Below are 12,290 nucleotides of genomic sequence, written 5' to 3'. Positions count from 1 at the left end.
TTATTTGGGCTCTAAGCTCTGGGTGTGCACAGGCGCTGCTCCACAGTGTCCACAGGCAGGCAGCAGGCCTCCCCTCCCCTGCCCACAGCCGTCCACGTCCCTCAGCCTCTACCTGAAGCACGAGTGTCCCTCCTTCCCCAACAGGACAGTCACCACCACAGTGAAATCATTTAGGCCTAAGTGCATTTTACCTGGAACAACCCTAGGGGACCGGCCACTTCACAGACCTGCAAACAGGCCTGGAGAGGGAAAAGACCCACGAAGCCTCCTCAGCTCCATTTGGGCCCAGGGATGTGAGATTCGGAGTCCATGCTATCTTCACCACCCAGCTCTTCCTCTGTCTCCAATATAGGAAGGTAGCTGAGTCCAGGCACAGCCCCAGTCTGCCCTCCTCCCCAGCCCAGCCAGGCCCCCTTGCACATACCTGGTTCCCAGGGGTCAGGCACAGCCAGCCCAGGCAATTCCCCATGTGAGCCGTAGAAGCAGGCTTGGCGCAGTCCTCCTCTCCCTCTCGTCTCTCCGGGGCCCTGGGCTGGGCTCCCCTGCCCCCACCCAAGCACAGGGCTCGCCTCTGGGCAGCCTCCTGGGCCATGGCCCCCTGGGTGCCCATATCCCGGCAGCTGCCCCTAAAAGCCACTTAGGCTGAGGCGCCGCGACTGCTCGCCACCCCAACCCCTGCAATTCCTGGGTAAGGCTGCTTCAGGCTCCCGCCCGGCCGGCCGCTTCCATCTCTCTGTCTGCATGTCCAGAGGCTGCCTGTCTGGCCTGTGGCTGGCCTCCCTGGACACAGCCTGGTGCTGCCACCCTTGGAGTCTGTGAAGATGGCTGTGGGCAGTGTGACCCACCACCACGCACCCCACATACCACACCTGTTTGGGCTTAGGGGGTCATCCCACACCAACCAGGTCCACCCAAAACCTGGCAGGCTGTAGCTTCCTGGCCACACTAGAGTCGAGGGAGGTGGCTGGATGGGAGACTCCAGCAGCCCCAGGTCCCCTGGGTAAGGGGGCTTGCAGACCTTACCCGCCCTGGGTGGGGCAGACGCCTGATCAGCCTTGGGCATACACCATCCTTCCCTGGCCCAGGACTCAGCTGATTCCTACTCCCAGTGACTGAAGATGGGCTGAGGGGCCGGAGCAGTGGCTCACGCCTGTAATCCCAACACTCTGGGAGGCCGAGGTGGGTGGATCACCTGAGGTCAGGAGTTCGAGACCAGCCTGGCCAATGTGGCGAAACCCCGTCTCTACTGAAAATACAAAAAAAATTAGCCAGGCGTGGTGGTGGGCATCTGTAATCCCAGCTACTGGGGAGGTTGAGGCAGGAGAATCGCTTGAACCCAGGAGGCGGAGGTTGCAGTGAGCTGAGATTGCGTCACTGCACTCCAGCCTGGGCAACAGAGCTAGACACCATCTCAAAAACAATAAATAAATAATTTAAAAACAAATAAAAAAAAAAAGATGGGATGGAGAACAGCATGGCAGAGGGAGGGGCCACAAGGGACATGAGGTCACAACCAGGGCCAGGAACCAAGGAAATATCACCGGACACACTGCTGCTACAGAGTTAACAAAAGAGTCCCCAAAGCCATGAAGGAGCTGAGGAGGGTAACAGAGTAGCAAAGGGCCGGGCAACAAAGGAAGTGGGCCTAGCAAAGCAGGGAGCAGGAGGAATGAGGCAGCCAGAGAGGAACCAGAGGTCACGATTTCAGAGGAGGTGCAGAGTCAGTGAGAGGGGACAGTGAGTCCAGGGGCCTGGAGGAACAGGCGAGGAAGGGTGACCTAGAAGCTCTCGGGGGCAAACCCTCCCAGGCCTCTTCTCCAGCCAGCCTCCGGAAGCTCTCAGCCCTGGTCCGAGGCTGACCTTGGCCCGTATGGGTGCTGCGCTGGAGGCAGAGAAAGGCGAAGGGAAGCACCTGGGCAAAGGTGTTCAGGGGCCGCAAAGTGCTTGGTGTCTCGAAGAAAGGGCTAGGGAGGTGGGCGGGAGGGAGTAGGGTCAGCATCGAGAGGAGGGTGGACTTTATTTTCCTGGTTCTGTGGGGTGCAGATGGGGTGTGGGTGACGTGGGCTCCCCGGGCCCCAGCAGGAGGGAAGAAAGTCAAGGCAGAGGCAATCAGAGGCTTGGGAGATCCCCCAACTCTCCACCCAACCCCCTTAACCCACGCCTGCCAGCATGCTACCCAGGCGTGGGTCCTATCCAGCAGAGGGAGAGCAGGTCTCAGCCGTTCCCCTGGGCTGTCGGTGGGGGGTCCACCGGGGTGGGGGCCGCCCGTGCACTCCTGTTTTGGCAGGACCTTTCCTTCGGGCCTTGAACCCGCATCCCTCCAGCAAGGTCCCAGCGATCTCAGGGAGCCCGAGCCTGGACCTGGACCGGGGCTCCGGGGTGTGGCCGTGGCCTGGGGCCCTGTCTGGGGGTGGGGCCACTATTCCGACTCCCGGTAATGGTCCAGAGCTGCTCAGGCAGGCGGGGCTTCCTAATGGACATTAATGGCCCTTCAAGCATAACCAGACCGCGCCTAGGGCCTCTTCCCTCAGGCTGCACCATGCCTCTCTTTACATTCTGAAACTGGAGCAGGCGGAGCCAGCGCGACAGAAGGAGGTGACCAACAGAGACCCACAGACCAGACAGAGAGAGAAGGCCGGGGGACTGCGACGACCCAAGAGTGGGGAGAGGCAGGAAACCGCTGCCGCCGACGGGGCGACCCCGCCCACCCGTCGTGGCCCCGCCCACTGCGGCTCTAGCCCCGCCCGTTGCTGGAGGCGCGAGTCGGACGCTACCGCCCGGAACAGTAGCCGCGCAGCGCCACCTGGCCGGAACTGGTGGCATTGCATCGTGCGAGGAGTTGCCCCAGGATCCTGCCCATCTGGCTTCCTTCCACTCGATCCAGTCCTGTGGGGTGGGGACTGGGGTGAGGCTGGCGCCCTAGGCCTGGTTGCGCTGCAGGGGAATAAGGGTGTGGAGTGGGGGAGGCAGAGAAGCCTCTCATGGGCTCTGTCTCCCCATCTTGGACCAGGCAAGCACCAGGGAACATCACTGAACGCCCCCCCGCCAGCCCCGCGAGAACAGAGCTTTGAGCACCTTGGCCTGCGCAAGGGGAGGCCAGAGCTGAAGCAGCCCCAGGAAGAACATTTAACCCAGCCTGGGGCCCTGGAGTCCTCCTTCGGCGGGGGAGGTCCCGGGCTGTCCTGGAATCTGCAGTCTGGAGCAGGCGGTGGGGAAGGGGGAGGAGGCAGTGGGAGGGGCGGTGAGAGCAGACAGAGCCAGCCCTGCCAGAGCACGGGTATCGTCCCATAGGCAGTGGGGAGCCCTTGAGGCGTGGTGTGGTGGTGACGAGGTCAGGACATCCATGTTCTTAGAGGTCAGGTTCAGTGAGGAACAGGGGCAGGAGTGGGAAGGAATGAGCTCGCAGGAGAATGAGTTGCCCTGTGAGGTGTGTGACCACCTCTTCACCCAGCACAGAGCCGGAGGGAGGGCTAGATGGAACCAAGGGCTCCATAAGAATTGGCTGTTGGCCGGGCGCGGTGGCTCACGCCTGTAATCCCAGTACTTTGGGAGGCCAAGGCGGGCGGATCACGAGGTCAGGAGATCGAGACCATCTTGGCCAACATGGTGAAACCCCGTCTCTACTAAAAATACAAAAATTAGCTGGGCGTGGTGGTGGGCGCCTGTAGTCCCAGCTACTCGGGAGGCTGAGGCAGGAGAATGGTGTGAACCCGGGAGGCGGAGCTTGCAGTGAGCGGAGATCATGCCACTGCACTCCAGCCTGGGCAACAGTGCAAGACTCTGTCTCAAAAAAAAAAAAAACAAAAATTAGCTGGGCGTGGTAGTGGGCACCTGTAATCCCAGCTACTGGGGAGGCTGAGGTGGGAGAATCATCTGAGCCGGGGAGGCAGAGAGGCGGAGGTTGCAGTGAGCCGAGATAGTGCCTCTTCAGCATGGGCTGGAGACTCCGTCTCAAAAAAAAAAAAAAAAAAAAGAAAAGAAAAAGAATTGAAGGGGTGGAGATAAAAAGCACCCACATTTGGGAGACAGACACACCTTGGAGATGGAAAGGACCTACCAGTGAGGGGAGGGGGGCTTCTAGAAGTGGGGGTGGGGAGCTGGTTCCACAGAGGCATCCTGGAGCCAGGCCCAGGACCACCTCTCCCCCAATGCTTGCTGGGTGGCCCCAAGGGGGGACCCTGCCACATGGCCACAGGAGGGCTCCAAGGGTGGGCTGCATCAGGGCATGTGACCTTGGTGGTTTGGGGTCCAGGACAGTCATTGGAGTCCCAGGGAAGATTAGAGAGGGTTGAAGAGGCAGCGGGAGGGAGGAGGGGCCCAGACCCTTGGGAAGGGAACTGGAGGGGGCCTGGTGGATGGAGGTCCTCGGTGTTCAAGATGGCAGGGCACATTTATGTGGGGGGGCTGGAGCCAGTGACCAGAAGTGCATGCAGAGGGGGATAAAAGGCAGAGAAGCAGGCCGGGTGCGGTGGCTCACACCTGTAATCCCAGCACTTTGGGAGGCTGAGGCGGGCGGATCACGAGGTCAGGTGATCGAGACCATCGTGGCTAACATGGTGAAACCCCGTCTCAACTAAAAATACAAAAAATTAGCTGGGCGAGGTGACGGGCGCCTGTAGTCCCAGCTACTCGGGAGGCTGAGGCAGGAGAATGGCGTGAAACCGGGAGGCGGAGCTTTCAGTGAGCCGAGATTGCGCCACTGCACTCCAGCCTGGGCGACATAGCCAGACTCCGTCTCAAAAAAAAAAAAAAAGGCAGAGGAGCAGCCAGGGGCAGTGGCTCATGCCTGTAATCCCAGCACTTTGGGAGGGAGGCTGAGGTGGGCGGATCACCTGAGGTCAGGAGTTCAAGACCAGCACGTCCAACATGGTGAAACCCTGTCTCTACAAAAATACAAAAATTAGCTGGGCATCATGGTGGGTGCCTGTAATCCCAGCTACTCAGGAGGCTGAGGCGGGAGAATCGCTTGAACCTGGGAAGTGGAGGTTGCAGTAACCCGAGATCGCGCCATTGCACTCCAGCCTGGACAACAAAGAGAGACTGCATCTCAAAAAAAAAAAAAAAAAAAAGCAAGAAGCAAGGTGGGGCTCAGGTGGAGGGGCCCCTCCTCCCGGGGCATGACCCAGAAGAAGGGGACCAGGGGTTCTTAATCAATCTGCGGAAGCCTTTGGCTAAGGGAGGGAGGGGGTGCCGGGAGATCCAGGTTTGAAATGAATGCTGAGTGCCCGGCGCTTCCCCTGGTCGGCGAGGGAGGGGCCCCTGACATTTGCCAGGGCGTGGGCGCGCCTGTCTGCGCCCTGAGCTAGACGGCAAAGTACACAAGCAGACGAAGGGGTCGCATGCGGGGGCGCAGGAGTCAGGCGGATTTTATTGACCGGACGGCAGGCGGGGTCTATGAGCGGCTCCTGGAAGCGCGCGGCCACTCCTCCTGGGTCAGGCGCGGAGGCGCCACGGGCGGGCGGGGGACGCTGTCAGAACGGTCCGGGGGCCAGGCAGGGCAGGCCAAGGCGGTTTGCTGCGGGGTCCACCGCTGGGCGGGAGACGTCTCTCCGAAGTCTCTAACGAGAACACAGCAAGGCCGTGGGGAGGAGGCTGTGGCCCTCCAACCACCGCCCCCGGGTGCCAGGGTCGAGCCTGCCCAGGGAAAGCTCTTCTGGGCGCGGAGCAGGGAATGGAAGGGCCCGAGGGTGCCCCCTGAACGCGCGGCTCCGTGCTCCGGCTCAGACCTCCCGAGACCCCCTTGCCCGCGGCGGTCCAGGCCTCTCCCCTCTCACGTACCTGGCCAGCTCCGCTGAAGTCCAGGGACTCCGGTTCCAGCGCAGGCTCTGGGGCGCGCGGGCTCCGGGGCGCACGGACGGGGATCCCTGCCTGGGAGCTCCTGCGTCGCGTCTCCCACAGCTCCTGAACCCACGAGGGCAGCAGGAGAGGAGCCTCGCGGGCTGCGGGTTCGGGGGAGAGGGTGTCCCTGGCCAGGGGCCCGGCGGCCGCGCGCAGCGCGCGGCGCCACAGATAGGGTGAGCGACGCAGCCCCATGAGCAGGCCAGCGGCGCGGCCCACCGTGTGGTAGCGGGGACTCGCCACGTGCTTGTACCACGCGCCGGAGGGCAGCGGCAGCAGGAGCAGAAGCAGCAGCAGTGCCAGCCGCGGCCGGCTCGCGGGAGCCCCCCGCTCCCCTGGGCGCCACGCCAGGGCGCTCGCGTCGACGGCCGCCCGGCGGGGCGGGCCACGAACCGGCTCGGCTGGGTTTGGGCGCGCAGTGGAGTTGGGACGCCCAGGTACCGGAGCGCAGGAGGCTGGAGGCGAGCCGTGGGTCCCCTGCAGGCCCAGCTATAACCGCTCGGTGGCCCCGCCTCGTTCCGCCCCCTCAGTACCGCTGGGCTCCCCAGATGGGGGGAGGGACGGAGGGAGGAGAGGGAACCCTGGCAGCTGGCGGGGGACGTGGGTACTTGAGCACCTCACTGAGTGGGCCGCTGGCTGGAACTGGGCTCGAGGCTCCTCTGAGGGGACACGTCCCATTCTCTGCCTGCTCAGCCTCCTCCCTCTAGGAGTGGAAGTGCCAGGGAGTGGGTACTGGGAACACTGATGAGGGAGTAGGGCTGAGGGATGCCCCTTTAGCCAGACTCCTGCCGGTGGGACGACAGCAGAGCGAAGGCCCAGGTGCAGGCAGAGCTACAGTGGCTATTGCAGGAGGGCTGTCGGGGGCCTTCAGCACCATTCAAGACCCCTCTGGGTGAGTCCCCCCAAGAGTTGTCCCTTGTCCTTGCCTAGCATAGCTCCCAAAGCTGTCCCCACACCCTGTCCTGTCCACTGCCACCCCCAGCTTCTCCCCACCAACCCATCTCCCCGCAGAAGCCTTAGAAGCCTCATGTTGGCAACACCAAGCCATCCGTGGGGTCTGCAGTTCTGTGAGGCTTCCAGGAGAAAAAGTCAGCCCCTCCTGGAACCTCTACCCCTGGAGGGGCAGGACAAGGCCTTGCAGACCTCCAGCGCCTCCTCTCTGGTGATGGTCCCCCAAGACCACTTTATCCAGCCAGTCTCAATTTTTGCCTAAACCAACAGCCTGTGGCTTTGCCTGCCTCTGTGCGTCTGTGCCTAACACCTACTCATCCTTCAAGACTCCACTTAAATGGCCCAGATCCTTGGCCGGGCGCGGTGGCTCACACCTGTAATCCCAGCACTTTGGGAGGCCGAGGCGGGCGGATCACCTAAGGTCATGAATTCAAGACCAGCCTGGCCAACGTGGTGAAACCCCATCTCTACGAAAAACACAAAAAATTAGCTGGGTATGGTGGCAGGCACCTGTAATCCCAGCTACTTGAGAAGCTAAGGCAGGAGAATCGCTTGAACCCGGGAGGCGGAGGTTGCAGCGAGCCAAGATTGCATCATTGCACTCCAGCCTGGGCAACAAGAGCGAAACTGCATCTTTTTTTTTTTTTTTGAGACGGATTCTGGCTCTGTTGCCCAGGCTGGAGTGCAGTGGCGCGATCTCGGCTCACTGCAAGCTCCGCCTCCTAGGTTCACGCCATTTTCCTGCCTCAGCCTCCCGAGTAGCTGAGACTACAGGTGCCCGCCACTACGCCCGGCTAATTTTTTGTATTTTTAGTAGAGACGGGGTTTCACCACGTTAGCCAGGATGGTCTTGATCTCCTGACCTTGTGACTTGTGATCCGCCCGCCTCGGCCTCCCAAAGTGCTGGGATTATAGGCGTGAGCCACTGTGCCCGGCCGAAACTGCATCTTAAAAAAAAAAAAAGGCGCAGGGCCAGACAGTCCCTCAGAATTTCCCTCTGTGGCCATCTGGGCTTAACAACCCCCTCCCAGAGGGCAGAGCCTGACACAGTCTTTCCTGACCTCCCAGCAAGGGTGAATCCAGCCCTCCCTCAGCAACCATGTCAGTCATGGGGCAGCCCCTGGGTCCCAGACACCAGGGATCTCGTTTTGGGTCATCATGAACTATCTCATCTTGACCTCCAGACAATGTCATGAGTGGAACTATTATTGACTCCACTCACCAACGAGTAAACTGAGGCCCAGGGAGAACTGACCTGCCCCAGATCATGTTGGGTAAATGGTGGAGGTGAGATACATCCTAGCACCTGAGCCCAAGAGCCTCAGCTTGGGGGAACAGGGTACTCCTGTCCAGAAGGGCACAGAAAGGCTGGGGGCAGGCTGGGCACAGTGGCTCATGCCTGTAATCCCAGCACTTCAGGAGGCTGAGGCAGGTGGATTACTTGAGGCCAGGAGTTCAAGACCAGCCTGGCCAACATGGCAAAACCCCATCTCTATTAAAAATACAAAACTTGCCAGGCACAGTGGCTCATGCCTGTAATCTCAGCACTTTGGGAGGTCGAGGCAGGCATGTCACGAGGTCAAGAATTTCAGACCAACCTGACCAACATAGTGAAATCCCATCTCTACTAAAAATACAAAAATTAGCCGGGTGTGGTGGCATGCGCCTGTAGTCCCAGCTACTCAGGAGGCTGAGGCGGGAGAATTGCTTGGTCCTCGGAGGCGGAGGTTGCAGTGAGCCAAGACTGTGCCATTGCACTCCAGCCTGGGTGACAGAGTGAGACTCCATCTCAAAAAAAAAAAAAAAAAAACTTAGCCGGGCATGGTGGCACACACCTGTAGTCCCAGCTGCTCGGGAGGCTGAGGGAGGAGAATCACTTGAACTCGGGAGGCAGAGGTTGCAGTGAGCCACGATGGGACCACTGTACTCCAGCCTGGGTGACAGAGCAAGACTCCATCTCAAAAAACAAACAAACAAACAAACAAAACAGAAGGTCTGGGGGCAGAGCCAGACTCCCACTCCTGAGGCGTGAGGGTCCCCGGTGAGTCTGGTGAGCCTGACGAGGGTTAGAAGCAGCAGCCCTCTCCAGGAAGGCCACACTGAAGTGGCGAGACGCCAGCCCTGCTTGATAGTCGCAGCTGAGGGGAAGAGGATAAGGACCTCGGCCTCTCCTGCCTCAGTTTCCTCATCTGTAAACTGGGGGTAAAAAAAGTGGCCACTTCATCATCTTGTTGGCACTGATAATCCAGTGGTGGGTCTGGGAGCTGAACCGTGCCTGGTACCCAGTAAGCACTCAATGAACGCTGTGGCTAGGACCTATCCTTGCTGCACCAGAGGCTGACCACCCCCAGCCTGTCAGGAAAACACTGTGACAGGGGCAGAATGGGGGATGCAGATGGAGCTGTCTGCGCCGCCTGGAGGACCACGGGGACCAGAGGCCCTGCAAGAAGCTATCCCCGCCACGCTCCCCCAGGGCCCCTTGTCCTTGACAGCTGCCTGGAGTGTGTGGTGGGCGGGTAGTGCAGCACGACATGGGCCAGAGCCAGGCCCCATCAGGGTCCCTTGGCGCTGCCACCCGCTCCTGGCTAAGAGGACGTGGGTGTCTCTGGACCCCTGGGGGGACTCCAGCCAGTCAGGGGAGGGTCCAGGACGCCCCCTGGAGGTGGCCCGGGGAGCTTCTGCAGGGGGAACTGTGGAAACTGATCAATGAAAGTCTATGCTGGGATGGAAGTCCCTGTGACAGCAAATAGAAGCAGTGGAGATTGCGCCACTGCACTCCAGCCTGGGCAACAGAGGAAGACTCCTTCTCTCTCAAGAAAAAAAAAAACAAAACAAACAAACAAAAAAAAAACAGCTGGACATGGTGGCTCATGCTTGTAATCCTAGCACTTTGGGAGGCCAAGGCAGGTAGATCATGAGGTCAGGAGTTTGAGACCAGCCTGGCCAACACAGTGAAACCTCGTCTCTACTAAAAATACAAAAATTAGCCAGGCGTGGTGATGGGTGCCTGTAGTCCCAGCTACTCGGGAGGCTGAGGCAGGAGAATCACTTGAACCCGCGAGGCAGAGGTTGCAGTGAACCAAAATCACACCACTGCACTCCAGCCTGGGCGACAGAGCAAGACTCTATCTCAAAAAAAACAAAACAAAACAGAACCACAACAACAAAAAAACCAGCAGTGGCTCCTCTACCTTGTTTATTGCTGTGGCCCAAGGGAGTGAGAGTCGCAGGACGCAGGGAAAGGTCACTGGGAACAGAGGCACGGGGAGGCGTCTGTTGGGTGGAGTGTCCGGAACACGTGGCAGGGGGAGACCAGGACTGGGTTAGAGGAGCAAAACACAGAACCTTAAGGGTGTCTGTGGGCTCCCTTTTCAGGCGGCAGGAGGAAGGCCTCTGTGTCCTGCCCAGCCTGGTGCCCAGGAACAGGACCTGGTGACAAAGGCTTCCTTCTCCCCACCTCCAGGGGTCTGGAGTCACAACTCTCCTTGGGGAGGAGGTGACGAGAGCCAGCCCTGCTTCTTGAGGCTCACATCTCAGTTCCTTGACACCAGTGTCCGGCCTAGAAACCCGTGAGACACTTGCTTAAGGCCAGGACCACGCCTGCCGCAGGCACAAAGCCTGGCCCCGAACAGGAACGCCCTGGTAAGGAGGAGATTAATGAGCAAATCTGTTTTGTCATCTTTAAAATTATTGGCCAGGGCGTGGCACAGTGGCTCACGCCTGCAATCCCAACACTTTGGGAGGCTGAGGCGGAGTTAGAGACCAGCCTGGGCCATATGGCGAAACCCCATCTCTACCAAAACAAACAATGACGAAATATATATATATATTAGCTGGGTGTGGTGGTGTGTGCCTGAAGTCCGAGGTAGAAAGTTCCCTTGAGGCCTGGAGTTCGCAAGGCTGCAGTGAGTCGCGATCTTGCCACTGCACTCCAGCCTGGGCGACAGACCCTGTCTCAAAAAGTAAATACATAGCTCGGGCTCAGTGGCTCATGCCTATAATCCCAACAGTTTGGGAGGCCGAGGTGGGCGGATCACTTAAGCTCAGGAGTTCAAGACCAGCCTGGCCAACACGGTGAAACTCCATCTTTACTAAAAATACAAAAAAATTAGCTGGGTGTTGTGGTGCACGCCTGTAATCCCAGCTACTCGGGAGGCTGAGGTATAAGAATTGCTTGAACCTAGAAGGCGGAGGTTTCAGTGAGCCGAGATTATGCCACTGCATTCCAGCATGGGCGTCAGAGCGAGACTCCATCTCACAAAAAATGAAAAAAAAAACCAAAACAGTAAATATATTAAATAATTGGCTAGGCTCAGTGGCTCACACCTGTAATCCCAGCACTTTGGGAGGCCGAGGTGGGCAGATCACAAGGTCAGGCGATCGAGACCATCCTGGCTAACACGGTGAAACCCCGTGTCTACTAAAAATACAAAAAATTGCCCGGGTGTGGTGGCTCACGCTTGTAATCCCAGCACTTTGGGAGGCCGAGGCGGGCGGATCATGAGGTCAGGAGTTTGAGACCAGCCTGGCCAACACAGTGAAACTTTGTCTCTACTAAAAATACAAAAATTAGCTGGGCGTGGTGGCAGGCACCTGTAATCCCAGCTACCTGGGAGGCTGAGGCAGGAGAATCACTTGAACCCGGGAGGCGGAGGTTGCAGTGAGCCAAGATCATGTCACTGCACTTCAGCCAGGGCGACAGAGCAAGAGACCACCTCAAAAAAAAAAAAATTAGAAAAAAAAGAAAGAAAGAAAAGAAAAAGAAAAAAAAGGAAAAAAAAAAATAATAATAATAATTAGGGCTGCGCCTGGTGGCTCACGCCTATAATCCCAGCACTTTGGGAGGCTGAGACAGGTGGATCACAAGGTTAAGAATTCGAGACCAGCCTGGCCAACATGGTGAAACCCCATCTCTACTAAGAATACAAAAATTAGCCAGCCATGGTGTTGCATGCCTGTAATCCCAACTATTCGGGAGGCTGAGGCAGAATTGCTTGAACCCGGGAGGCAGAGGTTGCAGTGGGCCGAGATGGTGCCACTACACTCCAGCCTGGGCAACAGAGCAAGACTCCGTCTCAAAAAAATAAAAAATAAATAAATAAATAAATAAAATAAAATAATTAATGTTGTCAAGGCAGTATACATTATAAATCAAAGGCTGCTTGCTATAAGGAAGAGAACAAAGCTATCCCTGCCCACCCTTCACACCCTGCTCCTACTCTCCAGAGACAGCTACTTCCAACTCTTTTAGCTGTTAGCTGTTTCTTCTAGTATTTATCTCCAAATGTTTGAATCATAAGCATAACTACTATTTTGTTTTGTTTTGTTTGTTTTGTTTTTGAGACAGAGTCTCACTCTGTCACCCAGGCTAGAGTGCAATGGTGCGATCTCTGCTCACTGCAACCTCCGCCTCCTGTGCTCAAGAGATTCTCCTGACTCAGCCTCCCAAGTAGCTGGGATTATAGGTGCCTGCCAAAACGCTCAGCTAATTTCTGTATTTT

General features: G+C 58.2%; 1 protein-coding gene across 1 annotated transcript, besides 3 other annotated features; it reads right to left on the bottom strand.

Moving 5' to 3' along the window:
- Positions 1,794–3,483: a transcriptional cis regulatory region, noted in NCBI's record as "candidate enhancer chr16.496 targeted for multiplex CRISPR interference". NCBI's record gives its function as "positively regulates NPW gene expression with high confidence in K562 cells {active_cell/tissue: K562}" and the evidence as "EXISTENCE:mutant phenotype evidence [ECO:0000015][PMID:30612741]".
- Positions 2,615–2,794: a silencer, noted in NCBI's record as "silent region_7023". NCBI's record gives its function as "represses an Ori minimal core promoter by ATAC-STARR-seq in GM12878 lymphoblastoid cells {active_cell/tissue: GM12878}" and the evidence as "EXISTENCE:reporter gene assay evidence [ECO:0000049][PMID:35858748]".
- Positions 5,269–5,563: a silencer, noted in NCBI's record as "tiled region #2092; HepG2 Repressive DNase matched - State 3:PromF". NCBI's record gives its function as "represses a minimal TATA promoter and a strong SV40 promoter by Sharpr-MPRA in HepG2 cells {active_cell/tissue: HepG2}" and the evidence as "EXISTENCE:reporter gene assay evidence [ECO:0000049][PMID:27701403]".
- On the bottom strand, positions 5,336–6,306 carry NPW (neuropeptide W). Its single transcript, NM_001099456.3, has 2 exons — positions 5,779–6,306; positions 5,336–5,558 (listed from the first exon to the last, which is right to left on the bottom strand). Exons 1-2 carry the CDS (start codon positions 6,187–6,189, stop codon positions 5,472–5,474), a joined length of 498 nt encoding a protein of 165 aa, NP_001092926.2. The 5' UTR covers positions 6,190–6,306; the 3' UTR covers positions 5,336–5,471.

Source organism: Homo sapiens, chromosome 16 (genome assembly GCF_000001405.40).
Source record: "Homo sapiens chromosome 16, GRCh38.p14 Primary Assembly".
NCBI classification, from domain to species: Eukaryota; Metazoa; Chordata; class Mammalia; order Primates; family Hominidae; genus Homo; species Homo sapiens.
The sequence above is the reverse complement of the archived record's forward strand: the minus strand, read 5'-3'. Positions and strand labels throughout refer to the sequence as shown.